This window comes from Homo sapiens, chromosome 10 (genome assembly GCF_000001405.40).
Source record: "Homo sapiens chromosome 10, GRCh38.p14 Primary Assembly".
NCBI classification, from domain to species: Eukaryota; Metazoa; Chordata; class Mammalia; order Primates; family Hominidae; genus Homo; species Homo sapiens.
This window is the reverse complement of record NC_000010.11, coordinates 68,492,937-68,505,076: the sequence shown is the minus strand read 5'-3', so window position 1 is coordinate 68,505,076 and position 12,140 is coordinate 68,492,937. Positions and strand designations below refer to the sequence as shown.

General features: G+C 42.1%; 1 protein-coding gene and 1 pseudogene across 7 annotated transcripts in view, besides 3 other annotated features; one reads left to right on the top strand and one right to left on the bottom strand.

Annotated features, from left to right (window-relative positions):
• The window catches only part of SLC25A16 (solute carrier family 25 member 16), a 49,526-nt gene that overhangs the window by 22,447 nt on the left and 14,939 nt on the right, over window positions 1-12,140 (top strand). For 6 of the 7 annotated variants that reach the window (NM_001324317.2, NM_152707.4, NM_001324314.2 and 3 more), the window contains 3 exons: window positions 1,382-1,445; window positions 11,507-11,628; window positions 11,879-11,945. In NM_001324317.2, the coding sequence (NP_001311246.1) occupies window positions 1,427-1,445; window positions 11,507-11,628; window positions 11,879-11,945 (208 nt within the window). In that variant the 5' untranslated portion in view covers window positions 1,382-1,426. The remainder of the gene's footprint in view (window positions 1-1,381; window positions 1,446-11,506; window positions 11,629-11,878; window positions 11,946-12,140) is intronic. The other variant, NR_136737.1, reaches the window with a different exon arrangement.
• On the bottom strand, window positions 5,068-5,587 carry RPL26P27 (ribosomal protein L26 pseudogene 27; annotated as a pseudogene).
• Window positions 8,508-9,081: an enhancer, noted in NCBI's record as "OCT4-NANOG hESC enhancer chr10:70255753-70256326 (GRCh37/hg19 assembly coordinates)". NCBI's record gives its function as "activates a minimal SCP1, AML or CMV promoter by ChIP-STARR-seq in naive H9 embryonic stem cells {active_cell/tissue: H9 hESC(naive)}" and the evidence as "EXISTENCE:reporter gene assay evidence [ECO:0000049][PMID:30033119]".
• Window positions 8,508-9,108: a biological region, named in NCBI's record as "OCT4-NANOG hESC enhancer GRCh37_chr10:70255753-70256326".
• Window positions 8,939-9,108: an enhancer, noted in NCBI's record as "experimental_16712 CRE fragment used in MPRA reporter constructs". NCBI's record gives its function as "activates a minimal promoter by MPRAs in K562 erythroleukemia cells, with activity observed for both the introgressed and non-introgressed 10:70255811 variant alleles {active_cell/tissue: K562}" and the evidence as "EXISTENCE:reporter gene assay evidence [ECO:0000049][PMID:34662402]".

Below are 12,140 nucleotides of genomic sequence, written 5' to 3'. Positions count from 1 at the left end.
TCTGTGGGCCCCAGCCTTTAGTGTGCTTTTTGTTACTCAATTGTAGGAGAGGAACACTGTGACTTTGGATTTTCTTATTAAACAAAATAGTGAAACTGGCTGGGCACAGTGGCTCATGCTTGTAATCACAGCACTTTGGGAGGCCGAGGTGGGAGTATCAGCTGAGGTCGGAAGTTTGAGACCAGCCTGACCAACATGGAGAGACCCCTTCTCTACTAAAAATACAAAATTAGCTGGATGTGGTGGCGCATGCCTATAATCCCAGCTACTCAGGAGGCTGAGGCAGGATAATCGCTTGAACCCGGGATACGGAGGTTGCAGTGAGCCAAGATCGTGCCATTGCACTCCAGCCTGGGTGACAGAGTGAGACTCCGAATCAAAACAAAAAACAAAAAACAAGGCCGGGTGCGGTGGCTCATGCCTGTAATCCCCAGCACTTTGGGATGCCGAGGCGGGCGGATCACAAGTTCAGGAGATCGAGACCATCCTGGCTAACATGGTGAAACCCAGCTACTCAGGAGGCTGAGGCAGGAGAATGGTGTGAACCCAGGAGGCGGAGCTTGCAGTGAGCCGAGATCGCACCACTGCACTCCAGCCTGGGCGACAGAGCCAGACTCTGTCTCAAAAAAAAAAACAAAAAAAACACAAGCAGCAGAGATCGGAACAACATTCTAAGCTAGTCAGCCAAAGAGAATTGATGCCATTTGTGTATCAGGACTTCATTGTCTATAGAGCATTTAAAAAATAAAATAAAAAATTAGGCTGGGTGCGGTGGCTTCAGCCTATAATCCCAGCACTTTGAGAGGCCGAGGTGGGTGGATCACCTGAGGTCAGGAGTTCGAGACCAGCCTGACCAATGTGGTGAAACCCCGTCTCTACTAAAAAATAAAAAATTAGCCGGGCGTAATGGCACACGGCTGTAGTCCCAGCTACTTGGGAGGCCGAGGCAGGAGAATCGCTTGAATCTAGGTTGCAGTGAGCCGAGATCGTGCCACTGCAATCCAGCCTGGGACACAGAGCGAGACTTCATCTCAAAAAAAAAAAAAAAAAAAAAAAAAAGTAGCAGTTTATTCCTACTACCCCCAGTCACTTGTTAAGGGCTTGTGTTCCTTAATACACAGTATCATATACTTAGCAATACTAAGCTAGCTTGCTTCTGCAGAAATGCAAAAAATTAAAGCAGAGACTACAGAGGAAATATCCCCTTCTGCTGTGATATAACACTGCCAAGCTGTATTTAATTGTGCTCATTTCGTTCACATTTATTATTAATTTCCTTTTTATTAGTCCTGTAACTCTTGAAATAAATCTTCATTATTAAACAGTGAAATGGGCAGCATTTAAAAAATATCTCATTTAATTCAGTGTTCTTGTTTTCTAGTTAATTACTACGAAGCTGGGAATTTCAGGTCATGTGCACAGATTAATGGCTGGATCCATGGCAGGTAAGAGGAGTTAGGTATATTTTATTTCTGACAAATTAATTTTCTATTAAAATATTTAATTTGGTTTAGATTATATGAGTGCCATTGGGGAAAGCACAGGTTGCAGGTGTCCTGTGACTTGTATTTTTTCCTGGGTGCATCCTCAAAAAAAGGTATGTATTAAAATAAAAAGTGTGACATTGATTTAGTAGCACACATTTGTTGTTTTTCTATATTCAGTTATATATATGAAATTATCAGTACGCCAACTGAAAAAGAGTCATTTTACAGTAGAGGATAAGGAGTAGTCTCAACTTATAACTATGTGAAAAGCTTGCATTCTCTTTGACAATTCTACTTTTGGAAATGTTTAAAAATTAAAAAACATTTTTCTGAAGGCTAGTCATGTAATGCAGTGTGAGTGGAGAAAAAAACAAAGAAAACTGTAACTGACTGTGATCAATGAGTTTTAAACATCACTGCACTTCACTTGGACCAGCCATTACTTTTCAAAATTTCTTTTTTCTTTAAAAAAATTGTAACGAATTATAATGACTAAAGTAATAACTGCTCCTATACAGTAAAAATAGTTGCATTCTCTAGAGACAACCATGATTAGCAATTTCTTTCCTTCTCCTTTCCTTTCCCTCTCTTCTCTCTCCTCTTCCCTCTCCTCTCCACTCTCCTTTCCCCTCCCCTCCCCCTCCTTTCCCCTCCCCTCCCCCTCCTTTCCCCTCCTCTCCCCCTCCTTTCCCCTCCCCTCCCCCTCCTTTCCCCTCCCCTCCCCCTCCTTTCCCTTCCCCCTCCCCCTCCTTTCCCCTCCCCTCCCCCTCCTTTCCCCTCCGCTTCCCTCCCTACCCCTCCCCTCCCCTCTTTTCTTCTCCCCTCCCCTCCCCTCCTCTCCTCTCCTCTCCTTTTTTGAGACAGGGTCTGGGTCTGTCTCCCAGACTTGGAGTGCAGTGGCGTGATCACAACTCACTGCAGCCCTCACTTCCCAGGCTCAAGCCATCCTCCTATCTCAGCCTCCCAAAAGTAGCTGGAACTATAGGCACATGCCACCACACCCAGCTAATTTTTGTATTCTCTGTAGAGACGGGCATTTGTCATGTTGCCCAGGCTGGTCTCAAACTCCTCAAATTCTCACCTGGCCTATTTCTGTTTTTTAAATATTCATTTTTCTGAGTTTGGGAGTTAGGACATTAGTTGTTTTTCTTTCAGATATTGTTAATATTTTATTTCCCAGTTTTAGATTTGACCTTCGGTTCTATGATTTTTTAAAAAAAATCATCCAAGATTTTTTTCCCTATAGAGAAGTTTTACATGGCCAAACATGTTAGTTTTTTTCCTCTGGTACTTCTAAATTTTGTGTTGTATGTAGAAATTTTCTCCCCGTTCTAAGGTAAAGACATTTAATCATGTTTTACTTTTTCTTTTTTTTTGAGACGGAGTCTTGTTCTGTTGCCCAGGCTGGAGTGCAGTGGCACGATCTCAGCTCACTGCCACAATCTCAGCTCACTGCAACCTCTGCCTCCCAGGTTCAAGCAATCCTCCTGCCTCAGCCCTCCAGTAGCTGGGATTACAGGCTCACACCACCATGCCCGGCTGATTTTTGTATTTTAGTAGAAATGGGGTATTGCCACATTGGCCAGGCTGGTCTTGAACTCCTGATTTCAGGTATCCACCCGCCTTGGCCTCCCAAAATGTAGGATTACAGGCATGAGCCACCGTGCCCGGCCCTAGTCATGTTTTTCTACTAAAACTATTTGTTTTGGCATGTTGATCTTATGTTTACTTTTGTAGAGGGAGTGAGGGATGGATGGAATAAGTTTTCCATATGACTTGTCAGTTGTGCCAACATTATTCGCTCACGTAACTTTTTTGCCAAAAAAAGTTATTTTAGAGATGGAGTCTTGCTCCGTTGCCCAGGATGGCTTAAACTCCTGGATTCAAGTGATCTTCCTGCCTCAGCCTCCAAAGTGCTGGGACTAGAGGCACACACTACTGCACCCATTTGAACATTCAAATTTTGAGTCAAATTCTCCCAACATTCCTTCCCTTCCCTTCCCTCCTCTTCCCTCCCCTCCTCTCCCCTCCCCTCATTCTCTCCTCTCCTCTTCTCCTCTTTCTCTCCTTTTTCTCACTTTCCTTTTTTTTTTGTTTTTGTTTGTTTGTTTGTTTTGAGATAGGCTCTTGTTCTGTTACCCAGGCTGAGTAGTGGGATGAGTTTACACTCAGCCTGGCTGACAGAACTCTTGACATGTAATATTTGGACACTCGACATGGAGTCCACAGGACAATATTATGAGGAAAGCTCTATGATTTATCTTCATTTTACAGAAGAGCAATGTGAGAAAGTTTCCAAATTTTTCAATGTGTTATTTTGTATATCACTTTTTTTTTTTGAGATGGAGTCCCTCTCTGTCGCCCAGGTTGGAGTGCAGTGGCACAGTCTCGGCTCGCTGCAACCCCCACCTCCTGGGTTCAAGCGATTCTCCAGTCTCAGCTTCCCGAGTAGCTGGGATTACAGGTGTGTGCCACATGCCTGGCTAATTTTTGTGTTTTTAGTAGAGACGGGGTTTCACCATGTTGTCCAGGCTGGTCTCAAACTCCTGATCTCAGGTGATTCGCCCACCTCGGCCCTCCAAAGTGCTGGGATTACAGGTGTGAGTCACCGCACGCATCCTGTATATCACTTTGTAATTATCTTTTTTCTTCTTTTTTTGAGACGGAGTCTCCCTCTGTCGCCCAGGCTGGAGTGCAGTGATGGAATCTCAGCTCATTGCAACCTCCGCTTCCTGGGTTCATGAGATTCTTCTGCCTCAGCCTCCTTAGTAGCTGGGATTACGGGCACGTGCCACATACCTGGCTAATTTTTGGATTTTTAGTAGAGATGGGGGTTTCAATATGTTGGCCAGGCTGGTCTCAAACTCCGGACCTCAGGTGATCTACCTGCCTTGGCCTCCCAAAGTGCTAGGATTACAGGTGTGAGCCATGGTGCCTGTCCTATAATCAGGTTCTAATCCTCCTGTTAAAAATTTAATTCAGGGCCGGGCACAGTAGCTCTTGCCTGTAATCCCAGCACTTTGGGAGGCCAAGGCAGGTGGATCACCTGAGATCAGGAGTTTGAGACCAGCCTAGCCAACATGGTGAAACCCTGTCTGTAGCAAAAATACAAAAATTAGCCAGGCATGGTGGTTGGCGCCTGTAATCCCAGATACGTGGGAGGCTGAGGCAGGAGAATCGCTTGAACCTGGGAGGTGGAGGTTGCAGTGAGCCCAGATCGCGTTACTACACTCCAGCGTTGGCAACAGAGCTAGACTTTGTATAAATATGTTTAAGTAATTACAATTTATATTTTTCTCCTGTGATTGAAACACTTGAAATGGATCTTATGATTAATTTATGTCTGGTATCTTTGCTCCTCTACTTTTGATAAGGCTTCTAAATGTAACTTTGGAAATTTTATATTTGCCAAAGTAAAAAGTGGTGTTTTTAATGATCATTTTAATGTAGCTTATTTTAAAGCTTTTTAAAAACTTTTCCCTGTCCCTCGTCCTACAACTATAATCCAATACATACTAAATCTCAGTTGGCCAGCAAAAGGAAACCTAAAGATTGAGATCAAGGTTTGTATTTTCTTTTTTTTATTTCGAGTTTTTATCAAAGCTTGTATATAAGATTACTTTATTCCTGCCTCTTCTCAATTGTTTCTTCCTTGTATTTGCCCTTTTCCTTTCCTACTTGGCGAGATTTGGCTTTCTGTTCAGGAATCTTTTTGCCGTCTTTGTTCAGTTTTATCCTAGTGAGAACCACTTGCTGTGGTGAATGTCTACATGGATAGTTGTACCATTAGCCTTTTCCCACTGCACTCATTCAGTGTAGATGACATTTCTTCCTGTAAGCCTGGACTACTTTGCCAATTTGCTGACCTTTATAGTGTCCTCATACAACCTGACCTTCATCAAAACCTTTCGGATGGGCATGGATCACACATTGTATTTCTGTCTCAGCTCTTTGGAAAGAGGGGAAGACATAATCTTCCTGCTAATGTTGGATATTGCATTGAAACGCCTTTTGCGTTTCTTGCCTCGGTTGGAAGTCACAAAGGGATTGAACTTCATTTTGGCTGCTCCTGCTTCGGTGATGGCCGCAAAAGGGAAGAGAAGGGTTTGTATTTTTAAGGAAGGTCTCCTTCTTTCCCCACGTATGTTTTAGTTGTCTGAAATCCATCTGGCTCTGCCAGTTTCCATGGAACTAAACGTGACAAGATAAAGAGTAGAGAAAAAAAGAAGGAAAGTGTTAGAACCTAGAAGTGATGAGCTGAGTTCCGCTTGTTGTGCTCTTTGGTCTGCTCCTACTTGCTGTTCCGGTCCAAAGCTTGGTGATTGAGTGGACAGAACACTTGCTGGGATCCTGCCTGGCCTCCGTTACTCACCTTCCCTTTGACCATGGGCAGATCACCCAAAACCTCTGTAACTTGCCTGTATGTTTGTTAAAGAGGAGCTTGTGGTTTCTCTCTCTCTCTCTCCCCCAACCCTCCTTTTTCCCATTCTTTCTCCTCTATCTCAGTTGTTCTGAGGGTCAGCATAAAGAATTGCTGTAAAAATAGTCTGAAAGATCTGAAGTCCTCCATGAACACAAGGGAATGTTATTAATCCTTCCATGCCAATGACTTTTTGGATGCTTTTAAGTCAGCAACCTGAATTCTTTATTCTCCTTTTTGTTTCATTTGTAATGTAGGGAATATTTTAGTTGTAAATAATGGTGATATTCAAAATATTTAACAACCACTATGGCAAAGGCAGTAGCCAATCACAGCAGAGGCTGGACATCTGCAACCAGAATGACCATACGGTATACTCCAATGATTATTAGAACCACGTGCTCACTGTACTTTGAGGATCTCAAAGAGGCTTGTAGGCACCTTTCCCAAATAACTTTTTGTTTTCTTTTTTTCAGAGACAGGGTTTTGCTCTGTTGCCCAGGCTGGAGTGCAGTGCTGAGATGATAGTTACTGCAGCCTCTAACTCTTGGGCTCAAGCAGTCCTCCCCGCTCAGCCTCCTGGGTAACCAGGACTGCAGGCACATGCCATCACGCCTGGCTAATTTTAATTTTTTTTTGTAGAGACAGAAAAATGAGAAGTTATTTTGCTCAGACTGGTCTTGAATTCCTGGCCTGAAGCAATCCTCCCATCTCAACCTCCCAAGTAGCTAGGACTACAGACACGTGCCACTGCGCCTGGCCTTCCAAATACTTTTATATTTAAAAGGGAATTCTAGGGCCGGGCACGGTGACAGAATGAGACTCTGTCTCAAAAAAAAAAAAAAAGAAAAAGTTAAAAATAAAAAAATATCTCCCTTGAGCTCTGATCCAGAATTCAAAAGCAACAAGCTTCCTACGTGTTTGGAAAAATTGCTCTTCTGAGCTGGTAGTCCAACTCTTGAATTTTTGAAAATTGGAATGTAGGTAAGTTCTGATTAATAGAATTTGAGTCCTGATTTGTGGGAGTGGGGGAGCGGCATGATGCTTAGGCCTCTACTCTTAAGTCCTTTGGCTTTTTTACTTACGTTGTACAGGTATCAGAGATCTGTGATTTCTGTGTGAGAATCCTGCACAAAAGGCATATACTCACTCTATAAACCCAGTTCTTTGGGAGGCTAAGGAGGGAGGATTGCTTGAGCCCAGGAATTCAAGACTAGCCTGGGCAACACAATGAGACCCCATTTCCTCAAAAATAAAAATAAAGGCAGAGTACGGTGGGTAATCCTAGCATTTTGGGAGGTCAAGCTGGGGTGGATCATGAGGTCAGGAGTTCAAGACCAGCCTGGCCAACATGGTGAAACCCCATCTCTACTAAAAATACAAAAATTAGGCAGGTGTCTTGACGCACACCTGTAATCCCAACTACTTGGGAGGCTGAGGCAGGAGAATTGCTTGAACCCGGGAGGCGGAGGTTTCAATGAGCTGAGATCACATCACAGCGTTCCAGCTTGGGTAACAGAACAAGACTCCATCTTGGAAAAAAAAAAATTAAAAAAAAAAAAAAGATGTTAGAAGTAAGAAGAAAAAGACATACAGTTATTCTTTTGTGTTATAATGGTTTCTATTGTGGCTCATGAGTGTCATAACTGAATTTTTTCTCACTAGATCCTACTCTAAGAACATAGTTTTAGTTGTCACACTCATCAGAGATTGCACACAACTATAGACAGGTGTATTTTGGTTGTTCATAACTGATATTTAGTCAACCTTGAAGTAGTAACGTGTTCCCAAAGGACAAACTATTATAGAACTGGACTCCTACTCCAGACCAATTTGTTTAGCTTTGTGGCTTAGTTTTTGTATCTATGACGCTTGGAGTCCTTCTTTTGTCTAAAGTATATATTTAGAATCTATGTATTTTTGTCAAACTTTAATCTCTTTGAATATGTACATGGACTCTGGATGCTGCTCCCACTATGTCAGCCTCAGATGGGAATGGAGGGTGGTGAGAAGCTGTCTTTGAGAACAAATCCACTTCCGTATTCATTGAGAAGTTGCGGGAGAGGATGAATTGATGAGGGTCTGTAAATGTCCATATACTTCAACCCTGTATTATGCAATTTCTAATCTTAATTTCTTCCTTCCCTTTACTCTCTCCTTGTAATGTTAGTTCCTTTTTTAAGAAATCCTTTGTAGCTAGGTCAGGTGATGCACACCTGTGATCCCAGCAACTTAGGAGGCTGAGGTAGGAGGAACATTTGAGCCCAGGAGTTTGAGGCTGCAGTGTGCAGTGATCACACCACTGCATTCCAGCCTGGGTGACAGAGCGAGACCCCATCTCAACAAAAAGAGGAAAAAAAGTCTTTTGTGTTTATTTCTGGAACACAATAAATAATTCATAATTACCATACTTTCTAAATATGATTTCTAATGTAATTGCTGGTTAAAATATGTTCTCAGGTTTCCCATAACTCCTGGGATTCTAGACTGTAGAGACAGTAAGATGATGAGAATTTAGAGAAAAAAGTCTGACTTTGTTTAGATTTATCTTTATGTCCTTAGTTTCTTGACTTAAGAGAGGGAAAGAGAAGAGTTTGCACATTCATAAAAATTGAAAGCAAGTCTCAGCTTGATTGAGTCTCATTGCTTCCTGGTAGGTAAACATATTCTACTATTTGTATTGGATTGTAGTTGTAAACTGAGGGAAGAAGAAAGCTGTTACCACCACTATTCAAGGTAAGCAGTTTCTGATTTGCCTTATTTGTACATCGAGGGCTTTTTTGGCCTTCTTAAAAGAAGTGTTAGGTAGAATAGTAAGGAGTGTGTGAATGGAGAAAAGAGGCCCAATGGGAGACTGTAGCTTCATGAATTGAAAACCTCAGTCACCCTCTGAATGATTGTTATGGATGTCAGTCTGATTACTAGCAGCAGGCAAGCTGAATTCCCACGTTGTTACATATTCCTCTTCAGTAATTCTCTGATTGTGCTTCCCTTTTAATTCAAATTTGTGAGCTTTGATGTGCAGGAGACAGATGGGGGGCAAGGGGATGCAAGAAGAGGAGATAAATGAATTGATTCTCAAAGGAAAGGGTAACAAAGTACATAGTTTCAATAGAATACATGAGAATAATAGCTAACACATATATAACCTTTACTGTGTACCAGGAATTATTTTAAGCATTTACATATGTTAGCTCACCTAATCTTTACAAAACCCTGATTTGGGTACCCACTTATTATGATACTCATTTGACAGATAACAGGATTGAAACCCAGGTTAAGTAACTTGATCAGGGTCATATATCTAGTTAGTAGTAGAGTCTAATTTGAAACAAGGAGGTGCACTCTACAGTTTATACTCTTTTCTCTTTTTTTTTTTTTTTTTTTTGAGACATAGTCTAACTCTGTTGCCCAGACTGGAGTGCAGTGGCATGATCTCGGCTCACTGCAATCTCTGCCTCCCGGGTTCAAGGATTCCCTGCCTCAGCCTTCTGAGTAGCTGGGATTACAGGTACCCACCATCATGCCTGGCTAATTTTTGTGTTTTTAGTAGAGACAGGGTTTCACTGTGTTGCCCAGACTGGTCTCCAACTCCTGGTCTCAAGTGATCCACCCACCTTGGCCTCCCAAAGTGCTGGGATTACAGGCGTGAGCCACTGTTTCCGGCCCTAGAGTATATACTCTTTTAACTTTTGACCATTTTGGTCAATTTTGATTATAAGTCAAAAGTTAATAGTTTATTATTATTATTTTTTGAGACAGAGTCTGGCTGTGTCACCCAGGCTGGAGTGCAGTGGTGTCATCTTGGCTCACCGCAACCTCTGCCTTCCAGGTTCAAGGATTCTCCTGCCTCAGCCTCCCGAGTAGAGTAGCTGAGATTACAGGTGCCCACCATTACACCTGGTTAATTTTTGTATTTTTAGTAGAGATGGGGTTTCACCATATTGGCCAGGCTGGTCTGGAACTTCTGACCTCAAGTGATCCGCCTACCTCGGTCTCCCAAAGTGCTGGGATTACAGGTGTGAGCCACCACATCCGGCCTATTTTTTAAATAAATACGAAGTTTTGCTATGTTGCCTAGGCTGTTCTCGAACTTTTGGGCTCAAGCGATCTGTTCACCTCAGCCTCCCAAAGTGCTGGGATTAAAAGGAGTGAGCCATGGTACCCACACACCTCCTTTACCTTTACAAATTTCTGGGTACTCTTGTTTCCTACCAATTCATTATTTAACCACTACATTAACTCCCACAGTGATTTTGTTTTCTTTTCTTTTTACTTTTTTTTTTTTTTTAGATGCAGTTTTACTCTTGTCGCCCGGGCTGGAGTGCAGTGGCACTATCTCGGCTCACTGCAACCTCCGCCTCCTGAGGGTTCAAGTGATTCTCTTGCCTCAGCCTCCCAAGTAGCTGGGACTACAGGCGCGTGCCACCAGGCCCAGCTAATTTTTTTATTTTTAGTAGAGATGGGGTTTCACCATGTTGGCCAGGCTGGTCTCGAACTCCTGACCTCAGGTGATCTGTCCACCTCAGCCTCCCAAAGTGTTGGGACTACAGGCGTGAGCATGCCTAGCTCCCACAGTGATTTTCTATTAAACCTCTTCCTTCCTTCCTTCCTTCCTTTCTCTCTCTCTCTGTCTCTCTCTCTCCTCCCCTCCCGTCTCTCCTCCCCTCCCTCCTCCCCTTCCCTCCCCTCCCCTCCTTTTCTTTTCTTTCCTGGAATCTCACTCTGTTGCCAGGCCGGACTGCAGTGGCGTGATCTTAGCTCACTGCAACCTCCGCCTCCTGGGTTCAAGTGATTCTCCTGCATCAGCCTCTCGACTAGCTGGGACTACAGGAATGTGCCGCCACACCCAGCTAATTTTTGTATTTTTAGTAGAGATGGGGTTTCACCATGTTGGCCAGGACGGCTCGATCTCTTGACCTCATAATCCACCTGCCTCGGCCTCCCAAAGTGCTGGGATTACAGGCGTGAGCCACCACGCCTGGCCTATTAAACCACCTTCAGCCAGTAACCAGAAAACTCGGAACATGGGAAAAGGAATTAAGAAATAGATGGAGTTGGGCTGGGTGTAGATTACTTATAATACCTAATATAATGTAAATGCTATGTAAATACCTGTTATAGTATATGGTTTAGGAAATAGTGACCAAAAAATCTGTACATGGTCATTACAGATGCAACCATTGTAGACCTCACTACATTTTCCGTCCATGGTTGCTTCAATCCATGGATGTGGAAACAATGGATCAGGAGAGCCTACTGTGTTTCCTTTCTGATATCTTAACTGGGAATACATAAATAGTAGAATAATTTTTTTTAAAAAAATCTCATGATTCCCTTACACTGTACACTGTACCATTTTGGTGCTAACAGTATAACTTCACAGTGAGAAGAACTTGAAAACATTTTTTACAAACTGACCCTTCACTTACTAGGTTGTTTTCCATCTAATGATATGGTATAATTCTGTCAGTAATATCACCTTTGATTTTATTGGGTTTTCACCATTGCCATAATATTGAGAATAATACTAATGATAGGGGAATATATGTATATATCAAAAATTCATTGTACCTCTAAATTTCTACTTTCTTTTCAGGTATGACAGCAGTTATCTGTACTTACCCTCTTGACATGGTTAGGGTCCGCCTAGCATTCCAGGTGAAAGGGGAACACAGCTATACAGGAATTATTCATGCTTTCAAAACAATTTATGCAAAGGTATTTCATATTTACCTTCCTCATCTATAACATGCCCTTTTATACTTAGGAAAATATTTTGAATGTCATATAAGTAATTATTCTTTTACTTATAATTATTGATGTTAATAACAATAATTACGAAAACACATCTTTGTGTTTCAGGGTGGATCCCTGAATAATTTTTCTGTTATAAAGTGTGATTTTTTCTTTGATGTTTATGATAATGAGCACAATGTAATCTCACTTGCAATTTTCCTTCACTCAAAAGGAAGGTGGTTTCTTTGGATTTTACAGAGGTCTGATGCCTACTATTTTAGGAATGGCTCCATATGCAGGTATGTTTCAAATTTGCCAGAATCCTAATATGCATGTTTAAAATTTGTTACCTTTTTTTTTTTTTTCTGAAATGGTAATATAAAAAGATGTTATCTGTTAAGTACTTTTAATAAGAAATGATTTATGGATGGTCACATAATAATATCTTGGATATAAAGATGACTATTCGTGTATAATTGGAGAAGTACTTTACA